Source organism: Homo sapiens, chromosome 1 (genome assembly GCF_000001405.40).
Source record: "Homo sapiens chromosome 1, GRCh38.p14 Primary Assembly".
Classification (NCBI taxonomy): domain Eukaryota; kingdom Metazoa; phylum Chordata; class Mammalia; order Primates; family Hominidae; genus Homo; species Homo sapiens.
The window spans coordinates 179,474,033-179,487,888 of NC_000001.11; the positions used below are offsets into that span (position 1 = coordinate 179,474,033).

A 13,856-nucleotide genomic window follows, 5' to 3' on the forward strand; every position below is an offset into this window, starting at 1 on the left:
GGCCAACATGGTGAAACCCCCGTCTCTACTAAAAATACAAAAATTAGTCGGGCGTGGTGGTGGGTGCCTGTAATCCCAGCTACTTGGGAGGCTGAGGCAGGAGAATTGCTTGAACCTGGAAGGTAGTGGTTGCAATGAGCCGAGTTCACACTCCAGCCTGGGTGACAGAGCAAGACTCCACCTCAAAAAAAAAAAAAAAACTTACCTAGTCTTGGGTAGTTTTTTTATAGCAGTGTGAGAATGGAGTAATATAGGAAATTGGTACTGGAATTGGGGTACTGCTATAAAGTTAGCCTGAAAATATGTAAGCCACATTGGAACTGGATAATGGGCAGAGGTTGGAATAGTTTGGAGGGCTCAGAGGAAGACAGAAAGATGTGGGAAAGTTTGGAACTTCCTAGAGACTTGTTGAATGGTTTTGACCAAAATGCTGATAGTGATGTGGACAATGAAGTCCAGGCTGAGGTAGTCTCTGATGGAGATGAGGAACTTACTGGGAACTGGAATAAAAGTCACCCTTGCTATGCTTTAGTAAAGAGACTGGTGGCATTTTGACTCTGCCCTAGAAATCTGAGGAACTTTGAACTAGAGAGAGATGATTTAGGGTATCTGGTGGAAGAAATTTCTAAGTGGCAAAGCATTCAAGAGGAAGCAGAGCATAAAAGTTTGGAAAATTTGCAGCCTGACCATGAGGTAGAAAAGAAAAACCCGTTTTCTGGGGAGGAAATAAAGACAGCTGCAGAAATTTGTGTAAGTAATGAGAAACTGAGTGTTCATAGCCAAGTCAATGGGGAAAATATCTCCAGAGCAAGTCAGCGATCCTCAGACCAACCCCTCTTATCACAGGCCTGGAGGCCTAGGAGGTAAAAATGGTTTCTTGGGTCAGGCCCAGGGCCCCCACTGCTCTGTGAAGCCTTGGGACATGGCGTCCTGTGTCCCAGCCACTTCAGCTCCAGCTGTGGCTAAAAAGGGCCAAGGTACAGCTTGGGCCATTGCTTCAAAAGGTGGTCTTGGGCCTGTGGGTGCACAGAAGTCAAGAATTGAGGTTTGGGAACCTTCACCTAGATTTCAGAGGATGTATGGAAGTGCTTGGATGTCCAGGCAGAGGTCTGCTGCAGAGGTATAGCCCTCATGGAGAACCTCTGCTAGGGCAGTACGAAAGGGAAATGTATTTGGAGCCCCCACACAGAGTCCCTACTGGAGCACTGCCTAGTGGAGCTGTGAGAAGAGGGCCACTGTCCTCCAGACCTCAGAATAGTAGATGCATCAACACCTTGCACTGTGCACTTGGAAAAGCCACAGACATTCAACACCAGACCATGAAAGCAGCCAGGTGGGAGCTGCACCCTGCAAAGCCACAGGATTGGAGCTGCCCAGGCCTATGGGAATGCACCTCTTGCATTAGCATGACCTGGATGTGAGATGTGGAATCAAAAGAGATTATTTAGAAGCTTTAAGATTTAATGACTGGCCTACTGGATTTCAGACTTGCATGGGGCCTGTAGCCCCTTGGTTTTGGTCAATTTCTCCCATTTGAAATGAGAGCATTTATCCAATGCCTCTACCTGCATTGTATCTTGGAAGGAATTAACTGTTTTTTTTATTTTACAGGCTCATAGACAGAAGGGACTTGCCTTGCTCAGATGAGATGTTGCACTGTGGACTTTTGAATAAATGCTGAAATGAGTTTAGACTTTGGGGGACTGTTGGGAAGGCATAATTGGTTTTGACATGTGAAATTATATGAGATTTGGAAAGGGCCAGGGGCAGAATAATATGCTTTGGCTCTGTTTCCCTACCCAAATCTCATCTTGAATTGTAATCCTCATGTGTTAAGGGAGGGACCTGTAATTCTCACATGTCAAGGGAAGGAGGTGATTGGATCATGGGGGCTGTTTCACCCTGCTGTTCTCATGATAGTGAGTTCTTATGCAATATGATGGTTTTATAAGCATTTGGCATTTCCCCTGCTTGCACTTCTCTTTTTCCTGCTGCCTTGTGAAGAGGTACTTGCTTTTCCTTCCCCTTACGCCATGATTATAAGCTGCTTGAGGCTTCCCCAGCCATGTGGAACTGTGAGTTGATTAAACCTCTTTTGTTTAAAAATTACCCAGTCTTGGGTATTTCTTTATAGCATTGTAGAATTGGTGTAATACAATATTACAAACACAAAAATACATTGTTATAATTATAAATTTACCATCTGTCATCATTTCTATCACCCATTAGAGTTTGCTCCCATCCACCTCTTGTGTGCTGTTTTGGCATATATATTACACATATATTACATTTTTATGTTGTAGGTCCAACAATATGTCCTATGTTATTTTATACAATTTCTTCTTTAGTCAGTTAAGAAATAGAAAATATGCATACATTCTGTCTTTTAAAATTGCATAATTTTGTTTATAATGCCTTGTTTTTTGTGTAGATTCTAATTACCATCTGTGGTCATTGCTTTCAGCCTGAAAAATTTCCTCTAGGATTTATTGTAAGGAAAGTCTACTAGCAACAAATTCTTCGGTTTTTTTTTTAAATCTGGGGCAGTCTTTATTCCACCTTCATTTTTGGAACACATGTTTGTTGGATATAGGATTCTTGGTTGACATTTTTTTCTTCTTTAGGCACTATGAATATGTTATCCCACTGCTTTTTGGCACCTATTGTTTATTTTGAGAAGTCAGCTGTTAATCTTATTGGGACTCCCTTGTAAGTGATGTGTTGTTTTTCTCTTGCCACTTTCAAGATTTTCTCGTTATTTTGACTTCTAGCATTTTGACTCTCATATATAAGTTTGTAGACCTCTTTGTATTTATCTTACATGGAGATTGTTAAGCTTCTTGAATGTGTTATTGTTTTTCAATAAATTTGGAAAGTTTCAGATCCTGTTTCTTTGAATATCTTTATGTACCTTTTTCTTTTCTCTACTTCCAATACTCCCTTTATATGTAAGGGTGTCCCATATTTCTTCAAGGCTGTTTTCATGTCGCTTCATTCTTTTTCCTCTTTATTTTTTGGCTTGAATTACTTCCATATATTTATCTTCAAGTTCAATTCTTCTCTCTTCTGCCAGTTCAAATTTACTGTTGAGCCCTAGTAGTGATTTTAAATTTTTTTCAGTTATTGTTCTTTTTCACTCTAAAATTTTCATTTATTTCTTTTTTCCAATTTATATTTTTAATTTCTATTCTCTTATTTGCTGCAACATTGTTATAATACCTTCCTTTGTTTATCTAGTCATGGATTTCTTTAGTTCTGTGAACATGAACTAACATGTGTTAGTTCATTTTCACACTGTTGATAAAGACATACCCAAGACTGGGCAATTTACAAAAGAAAGAGTTTCAATGGTCTCACAGTTCCACGTGGCTGGGGAGGCCTCACAAAAAATCATGGTGGAAGGTGAGAGGCCCATCTCATATGGCAGCAGACAAGAGAAGAGAATGAGAGCCAAGTGAAAGGGATTTCCCCTTATGAAACCATCAGATCTCATGAGACTTATTCACTACCATGAGAACAGTGTGGGGGAAACCACCCCCATGATTCAATTATCTCCCACTGGGTTCCTGCCACAACATGAGGGAATTTTGGGAGCTACAATTTAAGATAAGATTTGGGTGGGGACACAGCCAAACCATATCATTTTGCCCCTGGCCCCTCCCAAATCTCATGTCCTCACATTTCAAAACCAATCATGCCTTCCAAACAGTCCCCAGAAGTCTTAACTCATTTCAGCATTAACTCAAAAGTCCACAGTCCAAAGTCTCATCCAAGACAAGGCAAGTTTCTTCCACCTGTAAGCCTGTAAAATCAAAAGCAAGTTAGTTACTTCCTAGATACAAAGGGGCTACAGACATTGGGTAAGTACAGGCATTCCAAATGGGAGAAATTGGCCAAAACAAAAGGGCTACTGGCTCCATGCAAATTCAAAATCCGGCAGGGCAGACAAATCTTACAGCTTCATAATGATCTCCTTTGACTCCATGTCTCACATCTGGGTCATGCTCATTCAAGAGGTGGGTTCTCATGGTCTTGGGCAGTTCTGCCTCTGTGGCTTTGTGGGGCACAGGCTCCCTCCTGGCTGCTTTCATGGGCTGGGGTTGAGTGTCTACGTGTTTTCCAGGCACACGGTGCATGCTGTTGGTGGATCTACCATTCTGGGGTCTGGAGGACAGTGGCCGTTTTCTCACAGCTCCACTAGGCAGCACACCAGTGGGGACTCTGTGTGGGGGTGCCCACCTCACATTTCCCTTCTGCACTGCCCTAGCAGACGTTCTCCATTAGCACCCCACTCCTGCAGCAAACTTCTGCCTGGACATCCAGTCATTTCCATACATCCTTGAAATCTAGGCAAAGGTTCCCAAACCTTGATTTTTGGCTTCTGTGCATCTGCAGGCTCAATACCATGTGGATGCTGCCATGGCTTGTGGCTTGCACTTTCTGAAGCCATGGCCCCAGCTGTATCTTGGACCCTTTTAGTCATGGCTGGAGCAGCTGGGATGCAGGGCACAGCAGAGGGACCCTGGGCCTGGCCCATGAAGCCATTTTTTCCTCCTAAGCCTTCAGGCCTGTGATAGGAGAGGCTGCCCCAAACGTCTCTGACATGACCTGGAGACATTTTCCCCATTGTCTTGGGCATTAACATTTGGCTCCTCATTACTTATGCAGATTTCTGCAGCTGTCTTCAATTTCTCTTAAAAAATGGGATATTTGTCTCTATTGCATTGTCAGGCTGCAAATTTTCTGAACTTTTATGCTCTGTTTCCCTTTTAAAACTGAATACCTGGCTGGGTATGGTGACTCATGCCTGTAATCCCAGCATGTTGGGAGGCTGAGGCAGGTGGATCACTTGAGGTCAGGAGCTCGAGACCAGCTCTGGCCAACATGGTGAAACTCAATCTCTACTAAAAATGCAAAATTAGCTGGGTGTGGTGGCACATGCCTGTAGTCCCAGCTACTCAGGAGGCCAAGACAGGAGAATCGCTTGAACCTGGGAGGTAGAGGCTGCAGTGAGCCAAGATCAAACCACTGCACTGCAGCCTGGGTGAGACAGAGAGAGACTCTGTCTCAAAAAAATAATAATAAAATAAATAAAACTGAATACCTTTAACAGCACCCAAGTCACCCCTTGAATGCTGTGATTCTTAGAAATTTCTTCCACTGGCCGGGTGCAGTGGCTCATGCCTGTAATCCCAGCACTTTGGGAGGCCAAGGCGGGTGGATCACTTGAAGTCAGGAGTTCGAGGCCAGCCTGACCAACATGGAGAAGCCCTGTCTCTACTAAAATACAAAATTAGCTGGGCATGGTGGCACATGCCTGTAATCCCAGCTACTTGGGAGGCTGAGGCAGGAGAATCTCTTGAACTCAGGAGGCGGAGATTGTGGTGAGCTGAGACTATGCCATTGCACTCCAGTCTGAGCAACAAGAGCGAAACTCTGTCTCAAAAAAAAAAAAAGGAAAAAGGCTGGGTGTGGTGGCTCATGCCTGTAATCCTAGCACTTTGGGAGGCTGAGGTGGGCGGATCACGAGGTCAGGAGATTGAGACCATCCTCTCTAACATGGTGAAACCCTGTCTCCACTAAAAATACAAAAAATTAGCTGGGCATGGTGGTGGGTGCCTGTAATCCCAGCTACTTGGGAGGCTGAGGCAGGAGAATGGCGTGAACCTGGGAGGCAGTGCTTGCGGTGAGCCGAGATCGCACCACTGCACTTTAGCCTGGGCGACGGAGTGAGACTCCATCTCAAAAAAGAAAGAAAGAAAGAAAGAAATTTCTTCCACCAGATATTCTAAATAATCTCTCTCAAGCTCATAGTTCCACAAATCTCTAAGACAGGGGCAAAATGCTGCCAGTCTCTTTGCTTAAATATAACAAGAGTCTTCTTTGCTCCGGTTCCCAAGAAGTTCCTCATCTCCATCTGTAACCACCTCAGCCTGGATTCCATTGTCCATATCATTATCAGCATTTTGGTCAAAGCCATTCAACAAGTGTCTAGGAAGTTCTAAATTGTTCCACATTTTCCTGTCTTCTTCTGAGCCCTTCAAACTGTTCCAACCTCTGCCTGTTACCCAGTTCCAAGGTCGCTCCCACATTTTTGGGTATATTTACAGTAGCTCCCCACTCCAGGTACCGATTTACTGTGTTAGTCCATTCTCATGCTGCTGATAAAGACATACCTGAGACTGGGTAATTTACAAAGGAAAAGGGGTTTAATTGACTCAGAGTTCCACATGGCTGGGGAGGCCTCATAATCCTGGTGGAAGGTGAAAGGCACATCTCACATGGCAGCAGACAAGAGAAGAGAATGAGAGCCAAGTGAAAGGGGTTCCCCTTATAAAATCATCAGATCTCATTAGACTTATTCACTACCACGAGAACAGTATGGGGGAGACCGCCCCCATGATTCAGTTATCTCCCACTGGGTCCCTCCCACAACATGAGGGAATTATGGGAGCTACAATTCAAGATGAGATTTGGGTGGGGATATAGCCAAACCTTATCAGCTACTTTGAAGTTTTTGAAAAACCAGAGTTCTGGTCACTCTCACAGGCAGTTTCTGTTGCCTACCTGGTGTATATGTCACACTTTCTTGTTTCTTATCATGCCTTGTAAGGTTTCTTTTTGTTGTTGTTGTTTTTGGTTTTTGGATACTGGACATATTAGATAATATACTGTAGCAACTTTGGTTGCTACCCCCCTCTTCCTTGTATTAAGACTCTGATCTTGCTCTCAAGAAGGTGCAGTTTTTGGGTATGCCCACTGTCACCCTGCAGTGACAGTGGTGTTTTGTCAAGGCTTGCTTCTTTTTCTTTGACCACACCAAGCTGTTAAACTTCACTAATTTCTAGTTGATTGGTCTATTGTTTTCTTTTTTGTTTGTTTGTTTTTGCTTTTATTTATTTATTTATTTTTATTTAAAATAAAATGTATTCATTTTTATTTTTTTATTTTATATATTTTTTTAATTATACTTTAAGTTCTAGGGTACATGTGCACAACGTGCAGGTTTGTTACATATGTATACATGTGCCATGTTGGTGTGCTGCACCCATTAACTCATCATTTATATTAGGTATATCTCCTAATGCTGTCCCTCCCCACTTTCCCCACCCCACAACAGGCCCTGGTGTGTGATGTTCCCCTTCCTGTGTCCAAGTGTTCTCATTGTTCAATTCCCACCTATGAGTGAGAACATGCGATGTTTGGTTTTTTGTCCTTGCGATAGTTTGCTGAGAATGATGGTTTCCAGCTTCATCCATGTCCCTACAAAGGACGTGAACTCATCATTTTTTACGGCTGCATAGTATTCCATGGTGTATATGTGCCACATTTTCTTAATCCAGTCTATCATTGTTGGACATTTGGGTTGGTTCCAAGTCTTTGCTATTGTGAATAGTGCCGCAGTGAACATACGTGTGCATGTGTCTTTATAGCAGCATGATTTAATAATCCTTTGGGTATATACCCAGTAATGGGATGGCTGGGTCAAATGGTATTTCTAGTTCTGGATCCCTGAGGAATCACCACACTCTTTTCCACAATGGTTGAACCAGTTTACAGTCCCACCAACAGTGTAAAAGTGTTCCTATTTCCCCACATCCTCTCCAGCACCTGTTGTTTGCTGACTTTTTAATGATCGCCATTCTAACTGGTGTGAGGTGGTATCTCATTGTGGTTTTAATTTGCATTTCTCTGATGGCCAGTGATGATGAGCATTTTTTCATGTGTCTGTTGGCTGCATAAATTATCTATTGTTTTCAATAATTCTCTGGGGCATATATTGTGCTAAAACTACTTTCATGTAGTTTTGGCTCCTTGGAAAGAATAATTCCTGAGATCAGTGTTTGATCTTGTTCTGAACTCAAGTGGCCTTCTTCTAGTTGTCTTAGTGCCTGGTTGTTTCCTGCAAACTAGTTAGCCTACAGTTTAACCTATATCTTGAATCTCCACTGAATTGCATTTCACCAAACCTCCACTGTTCTTTAAAGCACCCTTAGGTTTGAACATCTTCAGGCTACGTTGCAAATGAAGTTAGTTTATTTGGGACAAGATTAGGAGCTTTTTAATTTTTTTTTTTTTTTTTTTTTTTTTTGCCTTCTTCTATCTCCAGGCAAAATCTCTGAGCTAGGGCTCTAGAGCTGGGGGTAGAGACAATGGAAAGCTTCTCTCTGAGTGACACTCACACTGTCAGACCTGAGAACTCCTTAGAGGGGAAAGTAGCAGCCTGAGGTCTTCTTGGATTGCCTCTCATGGAGTAGAACCACTGCCTTACAAGCCCAGACAATCAGGGACCCATGATTCTCAGCATGCTATGCATAGGGTAGAGTATTTATTATATATATAGGGGCTGGGTGGAAAAAGACAACCCCTACTTGTTACCTGCATTTACCCAGTACCTAGACTCAACACCAGATAGCTGGAGGCAGTATAAAAATCCATGGAAGAAAGCCATCTGATTGGGAGCTAGAGGGTTAGGGAGCTCTGTGTTCTTGGCTACAGCATTCTGAAATGGAGTTGCTGCCTCACTGAGCTAAGGAGAGGAAGGAGCAGTCATGGTTCAAATACCATAGATTATTGCCTTTCTTACTGAATCTTCATAGATTTTCTCGAATAGATGTTTTTGGAACTTCTCCATAGCACCATTTTTAGAGGCTTTAAGTGGTGTATTTAAAAAAATAATTGTTACCAGTTTCGGGGGTGGTGGGTGGTGGAAAGGGCAGCCTTGCTCCTCACACTATCATGCTGGAAGTCATTCATTGAGAGGATTTTAAAATTCATTCTTCTCACATAGTACTGGCCTGGAAGTAAATGTAAAGGGTGTAAGTTTTTACAGTAGAGAGCTAATATTGAACGTAAGATCTGCTTTGTCCAAAGTGCATCTTGCTACCTACTTGGGGGTTAGGAAAGCTTTGTCAGTGAGTAAACTATCATACTAGATAATTCAGGGCTTTGATTCCCCTTTCCTCAGTTCTCAAGCAGTTGTCAACATCTAAGTTTACAATACCCAGCCAAATAAAACTCTTTCTCATAGCTGATAGTTACATTTATCCTTTAAATCAGCCAGTCACTTTTATTTTACTTGATTTTTCCTTCAGGGTACTCCAAGCGTATATATTTAACATGATTCAACAATGGCTTTTGAAGATAGGCAATGAAATTAACAACGGTAACATTGAACTTCAGCACCACGTATGTACTTGTAAGGGTTTTTGACGTTATATTTTGCCTCGGCTGGCAAATTTCTTCAAGGAAAAATAATGCTCTCCCTATTTAAATGAAGCAGGAGGTTGAGAGGGCAAAATAGAAGCTTGTATAATAATTTCTCAAATAATTTTCAATGGATTTTTTAAAGCAGAATGTTTCTGCCTCTGGAATGAAGTTTTGCAATTGAAGAGTCAATGAGCAAATATGTTAAAGCTGGTAGTACGGATTCAGGCAATCCCTAGGCTTGGGAGAAATTCCTCTGACAACCAAAATGAATAAGAAAAAGGGTAACAGAGTGCTTGTCACATGGTGGGACTCAGTAAATGTTTGTTGAATGAATTTAGGAAGAATATTCCAGCACTGTTGGTATCTAATGGTGCTGCTACATTAATCCCTTCTTTGGCAAAAATGCTTGATTTACCATTAGGGATTTATCTCCATGAAATCATATGCTCAATTTGTTATTTTCTAGAATTTAATTTTTATAGTGTGGGATTACTTAGAAAGTGCCTTTATATACCTCAATTTTAACACTGCATTATTAAAATTAATCTGTGTAGAAAATTTGCAAGATTGTAAACTCCATGAGGAATTATGTGTATCCTGTGTATCCATATTAACTCTTATTAATATTTAGAAACAGAAAAGTTGGATATAGGAGACAAGATGGCTGACTAAATTCAGCCAGGAGAAACATCTGCCACTGAGGGACTAGAAGATTGGAAAGACTGGTGCACTCCAAGCATATCTTTAGAGGGAAGGCATTGAGGGTGGACAGAGGGAAGATAGAGATGCTGGGCTAAAGGAGGAGGAAGCTGGAAACCCTGCACAGGGATACCACACACTGGGACTCCTTCCTGGTCCCCAGTGACTCTTGGGGAAAAAGTGAGCTAAGCAGGCGAGAAGTGACCTACTCTTGCCGTAGGCATCTGGAATTCAGACAGCAGGATATCCCAGGACCCCCACAGTCACTTGAGCTGGCAGAGAGAGCTGCTTAGAGAGGTGGTAGGGGTGGTACTCCCAGCTAGTGTGGAGCCTGGAGGGTTTGGTGCAGGAGCATCTATAGTGGAGCACAGTCAGGGGTGCCTATCCCCCAAGGCCTGCCTTGCTCCTTTAGGAGACATTAATCTTAGGGGAACTATCAGACCTGAACAATACAGGGTGATCTTGCCCCTAAGACAGGGCCAGTTTCACCTGAGCACCCCCCTGTCTTGTGGACTCTCCCAGGACTCCAGCCTGACCATGCCTGTTTGCAGTGCAGCCTTGGATGCCCAGCTGAGGTGCCTCCCAGGGGCCTGCATCATAGCTCCTGTACTGGCAGACCATGCCTGACCATTGGAGAGCTCCAGCAGAGCACCCCCAACTAATGAGCACCAGCCCGCCCATGTACTCTACCCATCACAGCCTCCCCCATGCCATTTGCCAGTGTGCACTCACCCATGACCACCCCCTACATTGCTTTGCTAGTGTGGTTGCATGTATTCAGACCTTGCCCCTCCTTCCCCACCAGTGCACATGTGCACATGCACCCTACCATGCCAACTGCTGCCACTGTGAGTGCATCACACTCCCCACCCCATAACCAATGCAAAGGTATGCAAGGAGACCAGTGGCCCCACAATCTGTCCTGCACTGCCATTGCCATTGGAGTGTTCATGGGTACAGAGACTGCTAACCTTGTGCCTGCCAGTGCCCCGCCACTGTGCCAACAGTGCTGCTGGCATGAAACTACACATGGATGCCAGCAGACCTGCCTCCCACCTTGTGCAGCCACTGCTGCCTGTGCGAGTATGTGCACAGAGGTTACCAGTCCTGCATCTGCCAGCACTCGGCCCCCATGCGTGAACATGCACAGGGACATTGGTGGGCTACCCCCTGCAACATGCTGCACTGCCACCACTGCAAATGTCCACATCCCTGCCCTCATTAGTGCCCCACCACAGCTGATGAGCACGCACCCTGCTGCACTGCTGCTGCTCCTGGCATGTGTAAACAAGCACGGATCCCACTGTCACCACCTAATGAATTGCTTTGGCTGGCATCACCCATTGGAGTGTTGTGACCAGTGGTCTGGGAACACCTTGGCTCTTCCAATACAGTAGGTTCCTAACCTTGAGGGGCCAGATAACAAAGCTGGGGACCTGATACCAGACCCTAGAGTTAGAGCATGCAGTCCAGAAGGCCTAAGCTGAGCCTTGGACCCCTAAAATCTTCCAGAAATGAAGCAGGTTGACTGAACCCAACTTATACCTGAATCAAACCTCCAAGGATGTCAAAGAGGAGGAAAGACAAAAGAAAATGCATTCTAAGGACAGCAACTTCAAAGACTGAAGGAACATCAGCTCACAAAGATTAGAAAGAGCCAGCACAAGAACTCTGGCAACTCAAGAAGCCAGAGTGTCTTCTCACCTCCAAACGACCACACTGTTCCCCAGCAATGTTTCTTAACCAGGCTGACATGACAGAAATAGAATTCAGAATATGTATAGGAACAAAGATCATCAACGTACAAGAAAGTTGAAACTCAATCCAAAGAATCTAAGGATTACAATAAAATGATACAGGAGCTGATAGATGAAATGCCATTATAAGAAAGAACCACCAGGCGCGGTGGCTTATGCCTGTAATCCCAGCACTTTGGGAGGCTGAGGTGGGTGGATCGACTGAGGTCAGGAGTTCGAGACCAGCCTGGCCAACATAGTGAAACCCCATCTCTACTAAAAATACAGAAAATTAGCTAGGCATGGTGGTGGGCACCTGTAATTCCAGCTACTCAGGAGGCTGACGCAGGAGAATCACTTGAACTTGGGAGGCGGAGGTTGCAGTGAGCCAAGATCGTGCCATTGCACTCCAGCCTGGGCAACAGGAGCAAAACTCTGTCTCAAAAAAAAAAAAAAAAAAAAAACCTGATAGAAATGAAAAACACACTACAAGAATTTCATAATGCAATTGCAAGTATTAACAGCAGAATCAACCAAGCTGAGGAAAAAAATCTCAGAGTTTGAAGACTGGTTCTCTGAAATAATTCAGTCAGACAAAAATAAAAAACAATAAAGATGAATGAACAAAACCTCTGAGAAATATGAAATTATGTAAAAATATCAAATATACAACTCATTGGCATTCCTGAAAGAGAGAGAGTGAAACCAAGCAATTTGGAAAGCATATTTCAGGATATCATCCATGAAAATTTTCACAACCTCACTAAAGGGGCCAACATTCAAATTCAGGAAATGCAGAGAGCCCCTGAAAAATACTACAAAATAAGACCATACATGAGACACATAGTCATCAGATTCTCCAAGGTTGAAATGAAAGAAAAAATGTTAAAGGCAGGTAGAGAGAAGGGGCAGGTCACCTGCAAAGCAAACTCCATAAGGCTAACAGCAGACATGTCAGCAGAAATCCTACAAGCCAAAAGAAATTGTGGGCTTATGTTCAGCATTCTTAGAAAAGAAATTCCAAACAAGAACTTCATATCTAGCCAAACTGAGCTTCATAAGCAAAGGAGAAATGAGATCCTTTTTAGACAAACAAATGCTGAGGGAATTTTTTGTGACCAGATGTGCCTTACAGGAGGTCCTGAAGAGAGTGCTAAATATGGAAAAGAAAGACCATTACCAGCCACGACAAATACACACTTGGGTATTTAGACTACTATAAAGCAACCAAACAAGTCTGCATAGTAGCCAGCTAACAACATGATGACAGGATCAAATCCACACATATCAATACTAACCTTGAACATAAATGGGCTAAATGCCCCAATTAAAAGGCACAGAGTGGCAAGTTGGATAAAGAAACAAAACCTAATAGTTTGCTGTCTTCAAGAGACCTGTCTCACATGCAGTGACACCCAAAGTCTCCAAGTAAAAGGATGGAGAAAAATCTACCAAGCAAATGGAAAACTGTAAAAACAAGAGTTGCTATTCTAATTTCAGAAAAAACAGACATTTATTTTCCCTCCTGATCCATGTTCTTATCTCCAGTTTTTTTGTCATTGTTTTTCCTTTGCCTCCTTACTTCATTTTACCTGTGCTGCTTGGCTGTCTAAAACACTGGCCACTAAACGTTTTTTATTATGTACCTCCATTAGCAAAAAGTCTTTGAGCAAGCCTTTCTAACTTACTATTTCTGATTTGCATGCAAAAATTACTCAGTTGACATGTTTGGTACATTATAAAACATATACAGAAAGCCAAATGTATGAAATTAACAATATTTAAAAATGATTTTTGGTAATGGTTCAAAAAACTGATTGAAAAGCTTCATGATTTTTTATAATTGCAGGTTTAAATTGCAGATTAAACTTGTGATTATAAAGCTATTTGAAGGTCTGCTTCTAAATTCAGTTTCCTTCAATACTAATTTTTAATGGCAGTCACTGCTGAAATGATAGCTCAGAAAGAAACATGAATCCAAATTGAAGAAATACATCATTAGAATGATAATATTCACTTTTCATTTCCATCAATCAGGCCAGGCGTGATGGCTCATGCCTGTAACTCGACACTTTGTAAGGCCAAGGTGGGAGGATTGCTTTAAGCCCAGGAATTTAAGACCAACCTGGTCAACACAGTGAGAACTCATCTCTACAAAAAATAAAACAATTAGCCGGGCATGGTGGCACACACCTATAGTCCCAACTACTT

At 42.8% G+C, this 13,856-nt stretch overlaps 1 protein-coding gene across 22 annotated transcripts in view; it reads left to right on the plus strand.

Moving 5' to 3' along the window:
• The window catches only part of AXDND1 (axonemal dynein light chain domain containing 1), a 189,031-nt gene that overhangs the window by 108,328 nt on the left and 66,847 nt on the right, over positions 1-13,856 (plus strand). For all 22 annotated transcript variants that reach the window (XR_921742.3, XR_921741.2, NR_073544.2 and 19 more), the window contains one exon: positions 9,096-9,189. Coding sequence is in view for 19 of the 22 variants with exons in the window: in XM_011509168.2 (XP_011507470.1) it covers positions 9,096-9,189 (94 nt within the window). In the remaining 3 variants the exon portion in view is untranslated. The remainder of the gene's footprint in view (positions 1-9,095; positions 9,190-13,856) is intronic.